The sequence below is a fragment of the Homo sapiens genome, chromosome 9 (assembly GCF_000001405.40).
Source record: "Homo sapiens chromosome 9, GRCh38.p14 Primary Assembly".
Lineage (NCBI taxonomy): Eukaryota > Metazoa > Chordata > Mammalia > Primates > Hominidae > Homo > Homo sapiens.
In genome coordinates, this window is record NC_000009.12 from 61,405,751 (window position 1) to 61,427,971 (window position 22,221).

Below are 22,221 nucleotides of genomic sequence, written 5' to 3' on the forward strand. Positions count from 1 at the left end.
TGCCAGAGGTCCTGTAGGATCACATCTTAGGTCAAGGCAGGCCTACCTTCCAGAGCTGCAGAACACTGGGTACTGAGCTGGTCATCCTCACCCTTTCTCTCTTCTCTTCTCTTCTCTTCTCTCCTCTCCTTTCCTCTCCTTCCTCTCATCTCCTCTATCCCTTCCCCTCTGTGGATCCTTACCCTCCAGCTCCTTGGGTTGTGGCACCAAAAACGTGGCTGGATCTGGTACCCAAGCTAATGTGGTAGAGGAAAATAATTAGTGAAAACCATCAGCACACTCCCTCTGTTCTGGCTTCTTTGTGCATTTTAACAGTGGAGTCTGGAAATAATAGTCCCACTTCAGCTATTTAACCCAAGACTGACTTGAATGCTAGGAATGTCAAATCAGGTAGGGCAGAGTTTCGTCATCAGAGCAAGCAAATGTCAGGTGAACTGGAAGACAAAGCAGGACGTAGGTAAGAATGCAGAGTTTGAGTCAAATCAGTTGGGTTCAAATACTGGGTTCACTGTTTGCTAGCTGTATGAACTTGGATTAGCTGATTAACCACTTTGTACCTTGTTTCTTCATCTATATAATAGGTGTTATTATAGAACATACGTTATAGGATTATTGTGAAAATGAAAACAAAATAATCTGTATAAATTAGTGATAGATCTGAGTTCATCAGTAAATTGATGAATGGATAAGAGTAGATGCCTGATTGCAGAAGACTGAGGAGAGGAAATGAGTTAATGAAAAGGAGAGAGCAAATGATGAATACTTTCTGTAGAAGTCGGGATGCTTAGAAAAAGAGAGTGGGACAGCAGTAGCAAGAGGGACATACACGGGCAGGGGACAGTGTGAAGTGGAAGCTAGAGTGACTAGAGCCTGGTCACTGCCAGGGATGCTGGTGGAACTCCCATGCCCATCAACAGCTTGGAGACAGAAGAAACTCACAGAGTAGCTGAGGGGCAACGTCCCAGAGGGATGGCAGGGAAAAGGATCCAGAACACAGAAGACACTGAAAAACAATGATGTTTTCTGAAACAGGAGGAAAATAGCTAATTATATATGCTTTATTTTAAATTTCTGAAAGGGAGTTTATGGCTGTTCTTATCTACTTGATGTTCAGAAGATTCAAGCTCTGTGATATGAGTGATGAAGGAGCCGGTGCTGTGGCTCATACCTGTAATCCCAACACTTTGGTAGGCTGAGGCAGGCAGATCCCTTGAGTGCAGGAGTCTGAGACCAGCCTGGGCAACACAGTGAGACCCCTGTCTCTACAAAAAAATACAAAAATTACCTAGTTGTGGTGTGTGCCTGTAGTCCCAACTACTCGGAAAACTAAGGAAGATTGCTTGAGTCTGGAAGATCGAGGCTGCAATGAGCTGTGATCGAGCCAGTGCACTCCAGCCTGGGTGACAAAGCAAGAGCCTGTCTCAAAAACAAACAAACAAACAAAAAAGTGATAAGGGAAAAGTGGAATTAAGGTAGGAAATGTTTATGTGTGTGTAGTAGAGGATGTGGAATGGAAAAAGATTTTGACAGGGAACAACAAGAGTCCCTAGTAATAGTACATTTCTACACTGGAAACACCTGCCCAGACCACTGCCCAGACCACTTAAATCCAAACCTCAAGAGAGTAGGAACTAAGCAGTATGTTAAAGAATCCACCTGATGATTCCCATATTCATTCAAGGCTAAGGACCATTGTCCTCGTAGCATACAGACCCCAGGATGGAGACCATGAATAGGGACCCCACCCGCACAGCTGGGGGGTTTTCCCCAGCAATAGTCAGCTGTTTGCAGAACCTGAGAAGGCAACTGAGAAGACTGACCTAGAATTAGCATCTGCAGGTATGCTGACATGCTGACATTGAGGATTTGGCTACATAAATGCTAACAAATTGGCAAAAGAGTCTGGAAAAAATGGTACCATGCTGTTTGGGCAATGTGGAGAGGACAGTTAGATCAAGAGAGGCTGATAACGAAAATCAGAAAGAGTCAGCATGTCAAAGAAGCTATAGTGTGGGAGTGAGAGATCTGGGACTATCTAGAGGTGTACAGTCAACACAGAGTTTAAATAAGATTTCAAAGATGGTGCCCCCATCCCAGGTGGTGATGAGGTTGGCCGTGGGAATGAGGCTGAAGTGAAGCAGCTGGAGCTCATTTGCATCAGGGAACTTGAAGTCAAAGGATCTTATTGGTATTCCTCAAGGATGTTCATATTGTGGCTTTGGGATAGAGGAGATGGTGATAAGTGTAAGGGAATGACTCAGAGTTTAGAAAATGAATTACAATGGCCAGGAAGGGTAGAGGGAGCTATAGTCAAATGGCATTTAAGAGAAGAGATAACTTTCTCGTTGTGTGTGTTCAGTTACTTTTGTGAGGAAGTGCAATGTTATGAAATCAAAGGAGATCGGTGAAAATGTGTCCAGACCCCACCACAAATAAGATGAGGGGAAATGAGGAAACTGCATTCCTGAGTGTTACAAGGGCAGGGGTGTCCAAAAGAAAGACCTGAGTTTTAATCAAGGTGTAGATCAGTGTCTGACACCCAATATAACTGAGTATTTATTGTGTACCAGGTGAGATTTTTAGAATTTTAGCTGCATTCTATTATTTACTTTTTCATCATTAACTTGGGATGAAGAAATACAACTTTAGAGAGGCTCAGTAATGAGCTCATGTCACACAAGCAGAGCCTGTACCAGAAACCTTGGGCTGCCCACCTGGGGAGCCAGTCTCAGTTTCTAGGCTACACCAGAATATTCTCAGATAAGATTAAAGTAGTCTTTTTTCTTCCTTCTTTCCTCCCCTCAACCTCATCCCCCTTCCCTCTCTTCTTTCTTTTTCCCTTCCCTCCCTTCCCTTCCCCTCCCCTCCTTTTCCCTTCCCTTCTTTATGAGGGTCAAAGAGTGCACAGAAAAAAAACTGTGGGGAAGGAAGAAGAGTAGTGGGGAGTGCATGGGTGGATGGGAGTGTAGAGAGCCCGGAAAAGGACAGATTGACCTGAGGATCAACGGCATACGATTTGAGGACATGTCCGGGGATGACAGGGATGAGAGGCCTGGGGGAATGGCTGCTCTCGGGTCTCTGATTGGAATTCTGGAGTGATGTGGTTTTGCTGCCATCCCAGCCCAGAACGTGTCTCTCTTCAGGGTTCCACACAGAAACATTAATCCCAAACTGTTTGGCACGCTGTGGATTCTATGGATTCTGTCTCCCTGGTGGGAGTGAGGGCGATGATCAGGCACAGCTGTTCCCCCTCAGGTTTGGAATTTATCAGTGAGGACGAGTTTAGTGCTGGGCAAAATGCATTTCCTGCCTTTTAAAGGAATATGGATTTGCTCAGCTGAGGACTCCAGGGCACTTTCATGCAGAAGGGGCAGGAGACTTAGTTCCAGGCCCAAGTTCTTTTCCCTCTGAGTCATAGGAACCCCCTCCTCCTTTCTAGTCCCTCTGGCATTTTGTCCTCTGAAGAAATCTGAACCCAAGTGGTTGGTCCTAAAACACTATCACAAACAGAGAACCAACTGAGAGAGGGAGAAAGGATGAAAAGGAGATGCAGGTGAGAGGGGTGAGGGGCAGGGTGCTGGTGCAGTTCACACCAGAAGGAAGGAAGGGAGGGAGGGAGGGAGGGAGGGAAGGAAGGGAAGGAAGGAAGTCTGAATGTTTTCATCTCACCCCACCCTTCTCCAGGCTGGAGGCTGCAGAACTCGACTAGACTCATTTCTTTCTATTTATAATTTGCTATGTCATTTTAAAATTTAATTTTTAATTTATTTTCCCATTTAAACTTGCTTTGGGATTGAATTTGCTTTGGTTTTGCTTTCTGCTTTTTTCCTCCTGATTTTAGCTTTAGTGACCACTTACTTCTTATTATTGACACTTTACTTTGTATGCTGAAGGCTAATTTTCTGCCTTCATTCAAAGTCTGAACCCTGCAGCGATGCCAAATAATACAGAGAAGTCTGATTGTCCTTTATAAAAACAGCAAAATTTTTTAAGTTAAATCACATTCACCTTGAAAGAAATCATGTGCTCGATAAACCCTGAGAACTGCGGCCCCAGGGACTCACCGTGCCCACATTTTAGTTGTACTTTCACATGCAGATTAATGAATGTGACTAACATCTCATAACTCGTATTTTAAAATGTAATACAGTATTTAATATACATTGCACAATAAAATATCAGGAAGACTGAACCGTGGCTTACGTTGATGAGTACTGTGAGAAACAAATTCTACATTGGGGTGAAAATGAATAAAATTAGAAGTTGGGACTGAGAAGGACTGCAAGCTGCTGTGAGCAAGTGAACAGGAAACTGACCCTCTGCAGACTTGAGTAGGACCAGACGCAACTCTTCGAGAAAGACAGAGTAGGAAAACATCTTCCTTTTCCAAAGTGTATGTAGTTAGAGGCCCCCACCCAATGCATTTTCTTCCATTATTACCTATTTTTTAATATTCTATTTTTCAATCTAATTTCCCTTTTCCAGGGTGGAAAAACAACATTTAACTCTGGGAGAGTTTTAGTGTAATTTTGAAATCTGTTAAGCTTGCTGAAAGTTAAAAAGAAGGGAACATATTTTAAAATTTACATTTTGCTGTGTGGTTTCTGTGGTATGTGTAGGCCTGTTGGCTATGAAACACCCAGCCGCTATCACCTTTCAAACTCCTTTGTGAATTTATTAGAGCAAGACCCAAGAAACAAAAACAAAACCTTGTCTTCCTTATTTTCTTTCAACCTTGCTTCATCCCAAAGTGTACTTGAAGTGGAAATCATTTGAATTTTCCACAGTGCATTATGTTTACTGATATCTATACATCTTCCCTCAGATAAGATCCTAGGAGTAATCACCATTACCTCTATTTTGCAAAAGGAAGATGGGAAATTCAAGGGGGATGAGTGATTTACATCATACTTGGAATTGTGACAGGTCTTGAACTCTGGTTTATTTAGATCTTCCAAGTTAAAAACCCTTCCCCCCAACCCTGCCTCACCACAGAATCCAGCACTGCCTCCCTCAGTTTATAAGTAGGTGACATGTGGACAGAAAGATTCTGGAAAGTCCTGGTTTCTCAGGGTGGCAGCATTTTCTACTGGAAGTTTCTCACAGGCCGGTCCTTGTGTGGTTTGCAAAGTGAGCCCACAGCACTGACTGTGGGGAGGAAGACGGGGACAACAGCTCTGTGGGAAATGAAAGCAGCAGAGAATTCTGACTGTCCTCCATCTACCCCATGGCTGTCCTGCAGCTGCAGGACTCTGTTGGACAGTTCCAGTGGCCCCTGTTGTTCTCCCAGTTGCTCCAACTTGGAAGACGGAATCCCAGAGGACAGGTTGCTATTGGGCCTCTAAGCTCCTCACAGCACTGAGGACCTACAGAAAGTTCAGTGACAGGAAAGTCTGAGCCCCACCGAGATGATATTAAAGATGCAGATTGCTATTCTGTGTTTAACTGAATCTTCAAGGTGTGAATGTCAAGCTGAAAATGACATGCCAATTTAAGACATTAGACCAACTCAGTTTGTGATTTTAAAAATTATACCATATTTTGTTTATCCATTCCACTCATCAGTGGACATTTGGGTTATTTCCACATCTTGGCTGTTGTGGATAATGCTGCAGTGAACATAGGAGAGCCAAAATTTCTTTAACATCTTCATTTTATATTGGGGGGGTGTATATACCCGAAAGTAAGATTGCTGGATCATATGATAGTTCTATTTTTAATCTTTTGAGGATTTGCCATAATGTTTTCCATTGCAGCTGCACCATTTACATTCCCACCAATGGTGCAAAAGGGGTTCCTTTTTTTCACATCCTTGCCAACACTTGCTATCTCTTTCGGCATAAATTTCAGTTAAACAAGTTCTAGCGATCTGCTGTACAAAACTGTGCCTATAGTTAATGGTACTGTATTGTTTAAGATGATAGATTTCATGTTAAGTTTCTTACCACAATAAAAATAATTATGCCATAAAATATGCATAAGACTTTTTCAATGAATGTAATACTCAAAATCTGCAACGGAAATGCTTCTTAGCAACAAGGGACCAATAGGAGGATTATATCCTTTCATTCTTCAGCTATACTTAAAATGGGTATTTAGAGTTGAAAAATAATCAGTGTATTTTCACTGTTTTTATTTGGAGTCACTACACAAACAGCTATAAAATTTTGAAGAAAAATAGGCTTATGCAGAAGTATAGAGAGGAAAGATTACATACACCCACAGACCTGACTCCTAGCAAGCGCAACTTGTAAAGTATGAAACAGCTTATATGTTACGAGTGTAATTATAAATTGGCAAAATGTCCTTTTTATCACACTCCAGTACATTTTTATTGCTTTCAGCTTGCTCAAGGTTTTTTATTGCTCAGGATTTGTCTCTGAAATGTACTTGGAGGAGGGAGCTATACATTGTAAAGCCATACACAATCTTAGAAACCCTTACCTCCTGAACCACTTCTTCTGGCACAGGCTTTATCCTTTTCCTTTTCTTGTTAAGTCCACAGAACCATCTCAGGGCAAAATGGTGAAGTGGGCCGACGTAGCCTTTTCTAGTTCTCTGTGTGGTTCACCCGTTCACCGATCTGAATTTCTTCGGACCCCGTCTGAGTCGGTTGTCCTCAGGAGTCGTGTAAAGTCTGGGCCCCAGCCTGCGCGCTCCTTGTTTCCTAGTCCAGGGAGTGCTGGTGTTCTGGTTTAATAAACATCCTGGACAAATGAATGAAAAAGGCACTAACTGATAAGAATCCCCATAAAAGGCTATTTAAACTTTAATAATGAACTTTAAAAGGCTTGTAGGCCCAAAACAATGAGTATTTTGATGGTGACAACTCAGATGTGAGAAATGGAGGTGATACTTTGGGAGAAAGTGACTGCAGTAGTCCCCAAATCCCTGGTGGATGCCAGAAACTGCAAACAGTGCTGAACCCTATATGTACTATGTTTTTTTCTTATACATACACACCTGTGATGAAGTTGCTTTTATAAATGAGGCACAGAGATTAACAACAAGAACCACTAATAAAATAGAAAATTGTAGCAATATGCCAGCATCACTACTTGTGCACTTTGGAGCCGTTGTTGATTGAAATAAGAGTGATTTGAACACAAGCACTGTGATACCATGACAACCCACCTGATAACCCAGAGGGCTACTTAAGTGACTAATAGGTGGGTAGCTTATAGGGCATGGATATGCTGGACAAAGGGATGATTCACGTCCCATGCAGGACAGAGCAGGGTGACATGCGTTTTCATCACATTACTCAGGATAGTGAGCAATTTAAAACTTATGAACTGCTTATTTCTGAAATTTTCTATTTAATATTTTCAGGCTGTGATTAACCACGGGTAATTGAAACTATGGAAAGCGAGCAAAACTGCAGATAAGGGGAGACGACTGTATTTCTGATGTACTTCAAATTATACTTTAAAATTTGTCTATAGAAAATTGTTTGTGTTTATTCTTACAGATCTGTGGAACCAATTTTTAAATCTCCTAGGCAGGCTAAAATAATTGCTTTTGCTATCTCATTTTTTATAAACATTTATTTGTGAGATAAATCTTTACTTTTATCTTACAAATAAAAAAGATAAAGAGATAAAGAATATAATAAAATATATTTGCACTTCTAAAATTTGTATTATTAAGCTTTAAATAAAATACAGGAAAATAGTTCTACTATACTAAACTAAGGAATTTTCTTCTAAGCCTCAAATCTAAAAATCTATAAACTAATCTGAAAGAAAAGTAATGAAAATCAGGGCCAGGTGCAGTGGCTCATGCCTGTAATCGCAGCACTTTGGGAGGCCAAGGCAGGTGGATCATCTGAACTTAGTAGTTCCAGACCAGCCTGGCCAACATGGTGAAACCCAGTCTCTACTAAAAATACAAAAATTAGCTGGGCGTGGTGGCAGGCATCTATAATCCCAGCTACTCGAGAGGCTAAGGCAGGAGAATCTCTTGAACCCAGGAGGCGGAGGTTGCAGTGAGCTGAGATCCCACCACTGCACTCCAACCTGGGCAAAGAGCGAGACTGTCTCAAAAAAAAAAAAAAAGAAAAAAAGAAAATATCAATATTTCTATATAAACTTGGGAATCAGTTGTGCATTTCAGACAAATTTGGGTGAAGGTGATTATGGTTATTATGACAATGAAATACTGACCATCTCTGAGCAAAGGGCTTAAGGAAGTATGTGGGAAGTGCTCAAAAACATAAGCTATGATGATGATGATGATGATGATGATGATGATGATTTGAATTTGAGAATATAATCCCATTTTCTTTGGGCTATTCAAAAACTAGCAAAAAGTCAATTAGTTAAAAAAATTTCATTTCAGAAATTAGTTTCTGTGGCCTAGAGGAAAAATACACTGTGTATTCTCATCAATCACTGATTTGAATGGACACTTAAAATACACCTCCATGTGCAGGTAAAAAGAAGTTACTCAATGATGAGCAACCTTGTGGACTAGAAATACAGTCATCCCTGGATATCTGCGGGAGATTCATTCCAGGAGCCCCCCACCCCCAAAGATACCAACATTCATGGATGCCCAAGTCCCTTATATAAAATGGTGTAGTTTTGTATGTAACCTTTGTACAGCCTCCTGTATACTTAAATCATCTCCAGATTACTAATAATACGATGCAAATGCTGTAAAAATAGTCGTTATACTATATTGTTTAAAGAATAATGGCAAGAAAAAAATGGTTGTGCATGTTCAACAAAGTCACAGCCATCCATTTTTTCCCTACTATTCTTAATCACAGTTGGATTCATGAGTGCAGAACCCATGGATATGGAGGGCTGCTGAGTGTACTATATCCCTAGAAAGTTATTCTGAAATAGAGATAAGTAAGCGTAAATCTTACTCATATTTACAGGGTTGCAGCATTGTTTATAAGAGTGAAAATTGACAACTCTCTAATATCTAGAGGTTTATCTATCTAGAACAGGAAGATCATGTTAAATATATACCATCCAAAACTATGCAGATCTTTTTTTTTTATATACTTTAAGTTCTAGGGTACATGTGTACAACGTGCAGGTTTGTTACATATGTATACATGTGCCATGTTGGTGTGCTGCACCCATTAACTCCTCATTTACATCAGGTATATCTCCTAATCCTATCCCTCCTCCCACCACCCCACGACAGGCCCCAGTGTGTGATGTTCCCCATCCTGTGTCCAAGTGTTCTCATTGTTCAGTTCCCACCTATGAGTGAGAACATGTGGTGGTTGGTTTTCTGTCCTTGCGATAGTTTGCCCAGAATGATGGTTTCCAGCTTCATCCATGTCCCTACAAAGGACATGAACTCATCATTTTTTATGGCTGCATTGTATTCCATGGTGTATATGTGCCACATTTTCTTAATCCATTCTGTCATTGATGGACATTTGGGTTGGTTCCAAGTCTTTGCTATTGCGAATAGTGTCGCAATAAACACACGTGCATGTGTCTTTATAGAAGCATGATTTATAATCCTCTGGGTATATACCCAGTAATGGGATGACTGGGTCAAATGGTATTTCTGGTTCTAGATCCTTGAGGAATCGCCACACTGTCTTCCACAATGGTTGAACTAGTTTACAGTCCCACCAACAGTGTAAAAGTGGTCCTATTTCTCCACATCCTCTCCAGCACCTGTTGTTTCCTGACTTTTTAATGATCACCATTCTAACTGGCGTGAGATGTTATCTCATTGTGGTTTTGATTTGCATTTCTCTGATGGCCAGTGATGATGGGCATTTTTTCATGTGTCTGTTGGCTGCATAAATGTCTTCTTTTGAGAAGTGTCTGTTCATATCCTTTGCCCACTTTCTGATGGGGTTGTTTGATTCTTTCTTGTAAATTTGTTTAAATTCTTTGTAGATTCTGGATATTAGCCCTTTGTCAGATGGGTAGATTGCAAAAATTTTCTCCCATTCTGTAGGTTGCCTGTTCACTCTGATGGTAGTTTCTTTTACTATGCAGAAGCTCTTTAGTTTAATTAGATCCCATTTGTCAATTTTGGCTTTAGTTGCCATTGCTTTTGGTGTTTTAGACATGAAGTCCTTGCCCACGCCTATGTCCTGAGTGGTATTGCCTAGGTTTTCTTCTAAGGTTTTTATGGTTTTAGGTCTAACATTTAAGTCTTTAATCTATCTTGCATTAATTTTTATATAAGATGTAAGGAAGGGATCCAGTTTCAGCTTTCTACATATGGCTAGCCAGTTTTCCCAGCACCATTTATTAAATAGGGAATCCTTTCCCCATTTCTTGTTTTTGTCAGGTATGTCAAAGATCAGATGGTTGTAGATATGTGGCATTATTTCTGAGGGCTCTGTTCTGTTCCATTGGTCTATATCTCTGTTTTGGTACCAGTACCATGCTGTTTTGGTTACTGTAGCCTTGTAGTATAGTTTGAAGTCAGGTAGCGTGATGCCTCCAGCTTTGTTCTTTTGGCTTAGTATTGTCTTATCAATGAGGGCTCTTTTTTGGTTCCAGATGAACTTTAAAGTAGTTTTTTCCAATTCTGTGAAGAAAGTCATTGGTAGCTGGATGGGGATGCCATTGAATCTATAAATTACCTTGGGCAGTATGGCCATTTTCACGATATTGATTCTTCTTATCCATGAGCATGGAATGTTCTTCCATTTGTTTGTGTCCTCTTTTATTTGGTTGAGCAGTGGTTTGTAGTTCTCCTTGAAGAGGTCCTTCACATCCCTTGTAAGTTGGATTCCTAGGTATTTTATACTCTTTGAAGCAATTGTGAATGGGAGTTCACTCATGATTTGGCTCTCTGTTTGTCTGTTATTGGTGTATAAGAATGCTTGTGATTTTTGTACATTGATTTTGTATCCTGAGACTTTGCTGAAGTTGTTTATCAGCTTAAGGACATTTTGGGCTGAGACAATGGGGTTTTCTAATTATACAATCATGTCATCTGCAAACAAAACAAAACAAAAAACATGGTATTTGCTGTAAAGAGTTTAAATTAACTCAAGGTCGGCCACACCACATTAGAGATGAAGTTATTGTTCAAGTCAGTCTCATCGAAGGCTCATAGATTAGGGATTTTTCAAAGGTAGTTTAGGGGAAGGGCTGGGAGTGGCTAGGAAATGGGTGCTTGCCGCTGATTGGTTGGGGGTGTAATCATAGGGGTGTGGGAAATGATTCTTCTGCATGCTGAGTTACTTATGGGTGGAGCTACGGGAGCTGTTGGCAGGTCCAGTGGAGCCATGGGTAGTCAAACATGCAAAAAACCTGGATATCTCAAAAGGCTAATCTTAGATTCTACAATACTGATGTTATCTGCTGGAATTCATGAGGAAGTTGCATATCTCGTGACCTCTGAACAAATGGCTAGCAATCATTTATGTCTGTATCTTAGCAGAATTTAGGCTCCTCTATTCTCCTAGCCTGGTGGTCTCTCATTAGCTTTAGTTTTGGGGAAGGGCTATTATCATTTAAACTATAAACTAGATGTCTCTCACGGTTGGCTTGCCCAAGCTCAGGAATGATTAAGGGCAACTTGAAGGTCAAGGGCAAGAATGGGGTTAACTAGATCAGGTCTCCCCATTGCCATAATTTTGTCACTGTTAGAATTTGTGCAAAGGCGGTTTCAATTTCACTGTTAGAATTTGTGCGAAGGCGGTTTCCAGAGCTCAGCTTTGACCATAGGACATTGAACTTCCATGTGCCTCATGTTGTTGCTGCTGTTTTACAAATTCATAGACAGAAAATTTCTAGCACACTGCCGGATAAGCTATGAGCAACTCTTATTATCTCATACTAATATTATTCTAGGCAGGTGGCACCTTTTGAGTCTAGTTACTCTGTAGATCCTAACCAAATAGGAGGATGTGACTGCCTCATAGTCACAGAAAATACTCAACCTAGGCCTGATTCATTCAGTATTCTTATTCCCAATGCTGGCAATATTGTTCATTGATGGATCTGTGTGAGAGACACACAGGAATATACAATTGCATCTTATGCAGTATTTTATAGGTAGAGATGGCTTTTTCTTAGAACGTATTATACATGATTACAAGTGTAAAAATATGGTGAAATAATTTTGTTTGCTTTTCAAATGATTTTTGTTGCTAAAAACTAAAATTAAAAATAGGGAACAAGTATCCTAAATGTTTTTGAAACTATTATCATAGCAATTCTCAGACTATCAAGACTATGAACTATTTTCCATGATAGCACACTAATCATAACAATCATAACCATTTGTATGTGCATATCCAATATCTAATATTCAGGGATAAGGTAATATGGATCACCCAGTTTAATGCTCACAGATTCTTATGTGAAAAAATATATATTTGGTCATAGTTAAAATGGACAAAATAAGTGAATCTGTCTGATGGTCAGATAGTAAATATGTCAAACAAACAAATGATTACAATTTTCAGTTAGAATAACAAAAGCACTTAGATCACTGATTTAATAATAGTGATTCCCTAGCTAATTTTTTCATCTGTGCAGGTTGATTATCAGGGATGAAAAAGTGTGAAAACATTCCAATTAAGTAAATTGCTCTGCAGTTGGTGGGAAGTACTAAGTAATTACTTGTGGTGAGTCCAGAGATGAAGATGGAGTGGGCATCTCTGAGTCACCCAGGCAAAGGAAGACAGGTGCTGCTCCTCACAGCAGAACAAGGAGCTGGGTTTAGAGAGACTGGATAGAATATAGCATTAGGAAGATTATTTCTAACAATCAAGTCAGTGCACCAGCATTTGCCTGGGACCAACTGTGTGTTAAACACTGGTAAATACTGGGAGGGTTAAAGGTGCAGATCTTGGGGAACCTAGCATAAAATTCAACACAGCAGACATTTATTCTCCTTGAAGAATTCCTGATTTTGCAGCAATGCCTATCATGTCCCAGAACGAGGCTGGTTGTTGAAAGTCTCTGAGAAACCAGAGATGGCACCAGCATAATACCCTGAACTTTTATAAGGCACAAAGATTTATAATTATAATAAGGAAATCTGAGAGCAAGAAGACATGCTGATCAATCTCACACAGGAAATTTGTCCCAGATCCAAGTCAAATGACAAGTTAGATGAATTGCCTGCTTTCTAAAAAGGTATTTTAACATTTAACTAACGTGATCATTTAAAGTCAATAGCAATATCTCAGAAAGAACGCCTGTTAAGTTGTGATATATTTAGTTATATGCACTATATACAGAGAGCTAAGTGGCTAGTTCTGCTCTCTTCATTATCTGAATTATTTTAAAAATTACATTTACGTTAATCTTGATTCGTATTTTGGATTGCTTTATGTTTCTGAATGATCATTTCCTCAAAGTTATCAGTAGTGAGCAAACACAAACATTTATTTGTCTTTTTTAAACATGCACTACACTTTGTTTTTCTCTTTTTGACTTATTCAAATATGGTAAATTAATTCATTTTTATTTAAAAAAATGATAGGATGCTCAAGTATCAAACATACAAATGTATTTGCAGTGTTTCATTTTTCAATGATTATGTATATTTAATTAATTAAAGATATGCATAAGTGCATATATACATACATTTTTTCCAATAAGGTACTCTTGCTGTCATTGATTATTCATTTATTTTCTAACATTTCTTTCTTTCTTGACCCGAATATAAACTAACTATTTCAGGCCATGCTCTTTTAGTGCTAGAGAAAACTTTAGATTCCATACTACTTTTTTTTTTTTTTTTGAGATAGAGTCTCACTCTGTCACCAAGGCTGGAGTGCAGTGGTGCAATCTCGGCTCACTGCAACCTCCACCTCCCAGGTTCAAGTGATTCTCCTGCCTCAGCCTCCTGAGTAGCCAGGACTACAGGGGCACACCACCATGCTAGGCTAATTTTTGGTTTTTTTTTTTTTTGAAATAGAGATGGGGTTTCACCATATTGGTCAGGCTGGTCTCAAATTCCTGACCTCAGGTGATCCACCTGCCTCAGCCTCCCAAAGTGCTGAGATTACAGGCATGAGCCACCGTGCCTGGCCCCATAGTACTTTGTAGCATGCTTTCCAGCTAAACTGAAGCCTCAGGTGACATACCATGGCTCTCACAGCTAATTAATGAAAAAGCTGGAACCATCACCCACATTTCTTAATTCCTACTTCAGTTCATTTAATAATGCTAGAATAAGGCAAAGTCACACTTTTCTCATTTTGTGTTGATAAACATTGTATTCTAATGGTTAGTAAAAAATAATGCATTCATGAGCACTTTAAAATAATTAAGTACAACTGTTCACATAGGCAGTTATCGATACTAATTTAAATAAGAAACAGTTTTGCATGTTACACCATTATCTGTAATCTTCTGAAAATAACAGGGACAAAAGCAGTATCATCCTTGCCTAATGTCATCTGCTAGTGAGGGGATGCAGACCTAAGTGATTAAGTTGATTCCGGCTGAGAATCAAAGGAAAAGGTCCATAGATTCATCCTTGCTTTCAAAGAGTAGCATTGTGAGAATGAGTAAGAGGAAATATCACTTAGTATTAACAGATAATAATAAGCAGTGTTTCCTACTAATTGATTATTTACCGTATGCTAGTCCTATGTTAAGAGCTTTAGAGATACGTGAGAGTCTTGTGAGTCCGGATCATCATTCTCCCCAGTGTTCAGAGGAGAAGGCTCTGCGTGGTTGAGTGTCTTGCCCACAGTCACAGAACCAGTATATGTTGGGACTTGGCCTCAGACCCAGGTCTCTCCAGCTTCGCAGCCTGTGTTCATCATATGATATATCACTTACAGGAAACTCCAAAACTGAGCTGAAGTCTTTGACAGTTGCAGGAGCCAGCATCCTGCTGGAGCCGTGGCCTCACAGTCCTGTCTATGTCCTTGGGAGGGCTCTGTGGCAGCCCCAGGTCCCACTTGCCAGGAGTCCCTTCTTCACCCATGAGCATCCTGAGAACAGAGGAGGTTGAGGGGGCAGCAGCAGAGGGTTAACAGCTCTTCAGCAGGCACTGGGTCCACATGCTGGAGCCCTTTTTTGTTTATTTACTATGTTTAGACATCAGATGCCAAGGTTTCCATGAGTCACCTTCCTTAGTGAGTAATCATGAAGGAATGATCGGTCTGGTCTGCATAAGACCCTACTCTTGCCTTGGTGTTCATTCATTCATTAATCATATTTTTTTGTACATGATTCATATTTCCCCAGTCCAATACATTTTATTTGTACATATTCTTTTAAAAATCATAATTCTTTTGTTCACACATATTTACACTTACATATAATATTGTTTTATATCTTTCATTTTGCTTTTTACTGATTAACTCTGCATAAATATAATTGTACTAGTCATACTAAGGTGATAAAGATAATATGCTAATTTTTAATAATCTATAGAAACATTTTAATTGCTTCATAAAATCATCAAGGTATATGTCATGGTAATTATATTATTAATGCTATATACTTAGAATTAATACAATTTCTTCATATAACACTTATAATTAACAAAGTGTCTTAATCAAATAATCTTGTTAACAGGCATTACAGGGAGCAGCTTAGCAATATCTTTCATTTGTATAGTTCCTTAGAATTTTGAAGTCACCTACAGAAACATCTTCCAACAAGCTATAATTGGGCAGAGCAGTTAGTATTATTCCCATGTTACTCATAAAGAAGCTGAGATTACAAGCACTAAAATTTGTATCCAATATCAGCATAGTCTGGCAATTAAGGAAACAGAATTAGAACTCAGGGACTCACGGGCACTTTCTTACCCCACACACAGACAGCTTAAAATAATAACAGCATATTAAAATAAGAATCTCTCGTAGTACATTTAAGTGTTTGGGAAACTAATAATAAACTGAAGCTGCTGAAGAATCTGTTTCTTTTAGACAGGCTTTTCTAACATCTTTGTGAGGACTAACTGAATTGATGTGTGAAATTGCATAGGACAGTGGTGGCCCTATGCATAGTAGAGATTTAATGTTTATTTTAAAATTCAGAGACTCATTTCAGTATCTCGTAATTTAAAATAAAGATTTGATGATAAAAACCCACTAAAACAGAAATGACAAAATGACAAATTTGGAAAAATAACAAATTTCTAACAGTCTTCTTAAAAATAGTTGTTGATGAGTCTTACCTTGACAGATTTTTTTCTGCTTATGGCTGTCAATCTGGGTATTTCATACTCAACCACAACTATCCATGCGCTTAACATTTTGCAGACCAGGATATCACATGAGCACCATCACTGACTGTGACTGTTAGATTTAACTAATGTGACCGCTAAAAATCAAAGTAGAGTGTTGGAAATTTTTCAGTAATGTCATTAATTCCTAAATTATTTATGAAACATATTTCCAGCATGTGAGTGGACTCCAAGCCGCAGATTTCACTCACTTTCATGTATACCTAAGGAACATGTTATGGAAACTGATCATTTTATCTGAAAATACTCATTTTTGATTACTTAATATAATACTTAGCTAGAATGCCCTCAAAGACAGAGAATCCACATCAAACTTAAGTGACTGTCTTTCAATAAGATGGAGCTTTTATACATGAACACACCACACACACAAATTGCAGAGGAATGCTGTAAAAAATAAATGATTTATAATCTTACAAATACATTATATATATTAACTAGTTTAATTCTTACCAAGATTGCCAGATAGATACAATTTTTCTACTTTACAAAGAAAGATGATGATTTCTCCCAAGGTCACATGCCTGCTAAGACAGAAAAGAATTTGAAGGACTATGGCTTCCGAAAACTATTCTGTATACCCTCACTCTCCACAGAGCTGTAACTTTTGCTATTTATGTCTAAAATGAAGACGTAAGCCTCTGCAGAATTGTTGAAGGCTGCATATTTCTATAAAAGCTGGCTTATCCTTCTAGAAGGTTCGTTTTTCCACCTTAATAAAACAAAGCAGGAATAGGTCTTTGTGTTCGCCATTCTTTCTGTCCGTAGTGGTCATGTGCTCACGTATGAACTCATGTCTGCTCTGCAAGCTCTCGAAGCAAACTTTGAATATAATAAATAAGAAACTACACTGCATATTTTTAAGACACACATTATTTTACTGTTATAGATAAGGTTATTTCAATAATAAGCCCTGAATGTTATGACAGTGAAATGCTAGTATAAATCTTTCCTGCCCAAAATGTATTCTCTTTAATTTCTATATCTTTAAAGAACAGTGGTTCATTTGGTTGGTATCCCATGAAGCTGGTTATAATTCTATATAAGACAATAATGTGATTTCTGAAATTTCAAATGAATTAATGTGATTATATATATAAACTTTTAAATATATTTTAGTCATATGTAATAAATGTTTGATTTTTTATTGATATCTCTGAAGTTGCAAAGAGTATGTTTCTCATCTGCCTTATTCACAAACTATTAGGTAATGTCTATTTAAAGTTTCTTAAATGTTAATCTATTTAATTAAGCAAAAATTGACATTAAGTTTTATTTTGCTACATGATCCTATTATCACATCACTCAGAAGTATATTTTCCAGAGTTTACACTTTGAAACAAATTGAGAAAGAAGTAACATTTGGCAGATAAAGGTGAAAAAATTCTGTTTTGGTAGGGTTCCTTTGAAAGGTTTTTATTGTATTGTTTTTGCTGAGGTTTACAAAGTTTATTCAGCTACAGAAAAATATGATTTTAATTCTGCAACTGAATTTTAACATTGGAGTCAAAATGCTCATAGGATCTGATGTTCTTGTATTAGCTTGGCTGTATGTCTTAGATATTAAACCCAAATTAGAACCAAAATAAAAGGATGGATCAACCATCTCTACCAACCATGCCAACAATGACCAACCTGGGTCACAATCACAGCAGCCACCTCCACGCAGGTGGTGGGCTGATTGATTTCCAGGTGTTATCTCAATTAGTACTCTGGCCCTTCAAGATCAGTTTCACAGATGGAGAAACTGCAGCTTGCAGCAGAGAGTAGCAGGGTTTGAGGTGGTGGAGCTGGGATATGGCTTCTTTTATATAGGTCAGCCTGGGCTGTCCAGACAGAAGGTTGTGAGTGCAGAGGTTGTGCAAATATTTACCTGAAGTTGGTATAGCGATTGTTAACTCAAAAAATGTCGATGTACATGACCCTTTAGTTGGAACAAGAGTGAAATGATTATCTCTGGCTGGGCATGGTGGCTTAATGACTGTAATCCTAGCATTTTGGGAGGCCCAGGTGGGCAAATTACTTGAGGCTGGGAGTTCGAAACCAGCCTGGCCAACATGGCAAAACCCCGTCTCTACTAAAAATACAAAAATTAGCCAGGTGTGGTGGCATGCTTCTGGAATGCCAGCTACTGGGCAGGCTGAGGCAGGAGAATTGCTTAAATCTGGGAGGCAGAGGTTGTAGTGAGTCTAGATCGCACCACTGCATTCCGGCCTGGAAGACAAAGTGAGACCCTGTCTCAGAAAAAAAAAAAAAAAAAAAAAAAAAAAAAAAAAAAAAGGTGAAATGATTATCTTGGAATTGGCACGAATTAACAATAGACGAACTGTTACCAAGTCTGAGCATCAACACTAGCATTTAAAATTGACCACATTCACTAAGGCATTTCCTATATTTTTATTTCCATGTGTTTATACCCAGGGACACCCATTGGTGGTTGGGTATGAGGCAGGCTGATCTTTATTCTCTTTGTTTTGTTGTTAAGCCTGGTACATTCTTTTTTTTTTTTTTTTTTTTGTGATGGAGTCTACCTCTGTCGCCCAGGCTGGAGTGCAGTGGCACGATCTTGGCTCACTGCAAGCTCCACCTCCCGGGTTTACACCATTCTCCTGCCTCAGCCTCCTGAGTAGCTGGGACTACAGGGGCCCACCACCATGCCCGGCTAATTTTTTTGTATTTTTAGTAGAGACGGGGTTTCACCGTGTTAGCCAGGATGATCTCGATCTCCTGACCTCGTGATCTGTCCAACTTGGCCTCCCAAAGTGCTGGGATTACAGGCGTGAGCCAACGCGCTGGCCCTAAGCCTGGTACATTCTTTAGTAAAGCAAAATAATTAGGCAGGAAACATTCTTCATTCTTGGTTGAACTAACTGCTGGCCTGTTCCATACATAGATATTAACTATGTGCCCCAGTCATGTTAGGTGATAGCACTTCTAGTGCAAAATAGCATTAACCCTTTCCTTGTTCTCACACATGCCATATTCTTAAAAATCTGAGAACAATGAAAAAAATATCTAAAACAACTTTGTTTGCTTTGCACTCTGATCCTTCCCAATGTTCAGATAGCAAGATGGAGTGAAGAGTGAAAGCCCCTTTGCCTTGGAGCAGATAGTGGCAGTGTGCTCCTCTTGACACCCCCAGGAAACAGGCCACAGGTGCATGGAGCTGTGTTCACTGTGAAGTGGATTCAGCCTGATAACATGGAATCAATGATGCCATTGAAATCAAAGCCAGATGTAATCCTGCCCACACTCTATGATAGCTGTCCTACCTCCAGAGTGTCCTTTCTTCTTCCTAGACTGTAGTTTTTCATTTATAAATTAAGGGTGTGGGGCTGGAATCATGTCTAGGTCCCTTCCAACTCTCTAATTGCAGATTCCAGGATTCTCACTGCAGATCCTTTGCCTGTTACCGTGGTGCTTGATTGCCCTGCCATGTGATGTGGCTTTTTGTGAGCATCTTTACCACTTGATTAGGGAGGAATCTGTGGGATAGCATTTTAGAAAAGTGAACTTCATAGAGGTTGCCATGTTTATAGTCATTTTAATGATGTGGATGAAATTTAAACTACCTTGTAAATAAAGAAAACTTAGACAATGGTGACGAATTCAGGGACTGGAGAGGTTGTCACATCCTTGTTAACCATTAGCAGTGTTTCCTTTAAAACAGCAGCTTTTTGCATATTAGCAAAGCGAGCATACATTGCTCATTGCCATGAGAGGTGACGACATGAAGATGGTGTGTCCTGCAGATACATTGATCCCTTTCTCTGTTTTCTCCTAGGGTTTTCCAGGAAACACAAACGCAGACAGTGTGGTGCACTACAGACTCCAGCCTCCCTTTGAAGCCAGGTTCCTGCGCTTTCTCCCTTTAGCCTGGAACCCTAGGGGCAGGATTGGGATGCGGATCGAAGTGTACGGATGTGCATATAGTAAGTGGCCTTTATTCCCTGTGTGAAATCAAGGTCAGCATGAGATTCTGTCAAAGCCAAACTGTAAAAGCCAATGTCGGCATGAAATGTTGAACTTGACTTTTTCTGTCTTTTTATATAGCTGGGCAAGCAGAACTGGTTTTTATGGAAACACTCTAGTGTCTCCCCATGACAATATGGACTTTAGTTACTGTCTTTTATAGTTGAATTTAGTGGTGGACCTGAACTGAAACTTACCTGTCTTTAGATTCCCAGAGTTTAGCAAAGTACTTGCAATATGGTAGGCATCTGATGAAACGAATACAATTCAAACTAACAACAGATGATGCTGTTTTTTTGAAGCTGAGATGATACGCTGTCTGGGAAAACAGGAGCGGTACTGGGGGCAGGGTGTGATTTCTCGCAATCTCTTGGTTCTCTGTGTTTTTCTCTGCTAACGTCCTCTTTTGCACACTGTGCTGTCGCTTCACTTGATCTTCACTTGGTGGGAACCTGTGTTTAGTCAGCCTCTTTTCTCACCTATTCTTTGTTATAAAAGTGGAAAGGATGGGGCCGACATGAATATAACACAAACAAAAAGCCGGCCGTGAAATTATTTGGTGGTACTCAGTGACACAGTTGCCACTTGATGATCTAGAACATACTTGTATTCTTTCTTTACATTATCATAAAAATGTTTTAAATTATTGTCAAAATGGAATAAAATTGAAAAATACTCCTGTATAAAACTGGAGAACAGGTCAAAGAGCAGCCTGGATGGAAATGTCTTAAGCAGCTTCAATTTGGGTCCGGCCGGATGTTCATATCACACTATTTACACACAGTCACTCCCATTCTCTGCCTACTCACAGCTTTAGCCCTGCAGAATATTAATTTTCTAAAGCATGATAACAACGTCTGTCATTCATACAGCATTTAATATCTCAGATACTATTATTTCCATTTTATTACTTAACTCCTGTACAACCCAGTTCATTTCCTAACTCTGCTTGTTTTTTAGTGTTTACATTTCTACAGGGCTAAATATAATGATGTTGCTTTACCAACAGTCTTTTTTCTTCCTGTTATTGTTCATCTCCTTCCATCCCTGTGTTTTCTGGGACCTATAACTGTGCTCTCTGTTTCAATGGCTAAGATGTCTGATATTTGGAATCTCTCTTTGATGCTGTGAAGTTACCTTCTCCTCTCATTACTCTGAAACAACTTCAGGTTTACTGACTTCAAAGTGGAACATGCTCTTTGATGGCGATTTGCCATTAGCTTGATGTTCCTTCATGAAGAGATATTACTCCAGTTCCTTGGGCTGGAGGTTGGTACCAGGAAGATCAAAGCCCCGTGCCTGATTCCAGGAAGGGCCGGTGAGCGGTGCAGCTGCCATGCAATCTGCTGGCACCGTTAACTTCTGTAAACACATGCTGTTGGCTGTAAGGGACTACTAGTAAAAAAACCCAAACATGCAGACAGATAATATGTGACCACTGCTAACTAGCTAAAAGTAATTCTTTAGAACAAGTGGACATCTACATTGTCTTTTTTTCCTTAGAAGAATAATTGTTCAAGTATGGTGATTTTATTTTTGTTGTTGACAGTAATACAATCCTTTATGACTTATGTTAATAATGGTAGTTTCAGTATTTTCCTTTGTATTTCCACTGCCCTGCTTGTTTTCTAGAACGTTGCTTATAATGACTTATAATATCCCTGCCACGCAGCATCTCTTCCCATTTATTTATTTATGTATTTATCAATTTATCTTTTTTTATTTTAAGAGGCAAGTTCTCATTATGTTGCCCAGGCTGGAGTGCAGTGGCTACAGGCACAATCCCACTGCTGATCAGCACGGGAGTCTTGACCTGCTTCATTTGGGAGCAGGGCTAGTTCACTCTTCCTTAAGCAACCTGATGGTCCTCCGCTCGGAGAGATCACCATTTGATGCTAAAATTTGTTCAGACACCTGATCATCATAGTGCACCCCTGGGCTCCATCGATCCTCTACCTCAGCCTCCTGAGTAGCTGGGACTGCCCAGCCCTAGTGTTATTAGCTTTTCTACACTTCATTTACAGTAATAGATTCATTATTCCTTTAAACTGTGTGTGTTTTCACAGACTCCTGGCTTACTCT

The 22,221-nt window shown here is 39.5% G+C and overlaps 1 protein-coding gene and 1 pseudogene across 6 annotated transcripts in view; one reads left to right on the plus strand and one right to left on the minus strand.

Moving 5' to 3' along the window:
* Positions 1 to 22,221, plus strand: part of CNTNAP3C (contactin associated protein family member 3C) — a 131,026-nt gene that overhangs the window by 75,310 nt on the left and 33,495 nt on the right. For all 6 annotated transcript variants that reach the window (XM_011545672.4, XM_017015380.2, XM_011545674.3 and 3 more), the window contains exon 4: positions 19,952 to 20,099. In XM_011545672.4, coding sequence (XP_011543974.1) covers positions 19,952 to 20,099 — 148 coding nt within the window. The remainder of the gene's footprint in view (positions 1 to 19,951; positions 20,100 to 22,221) is intronic.
* RN7SL462P (RNA, 7SL, cytoplasmic 462, pseudogene) lies at positions 21,867 to 22,127 on the minus strand (annotated as a pseudogene).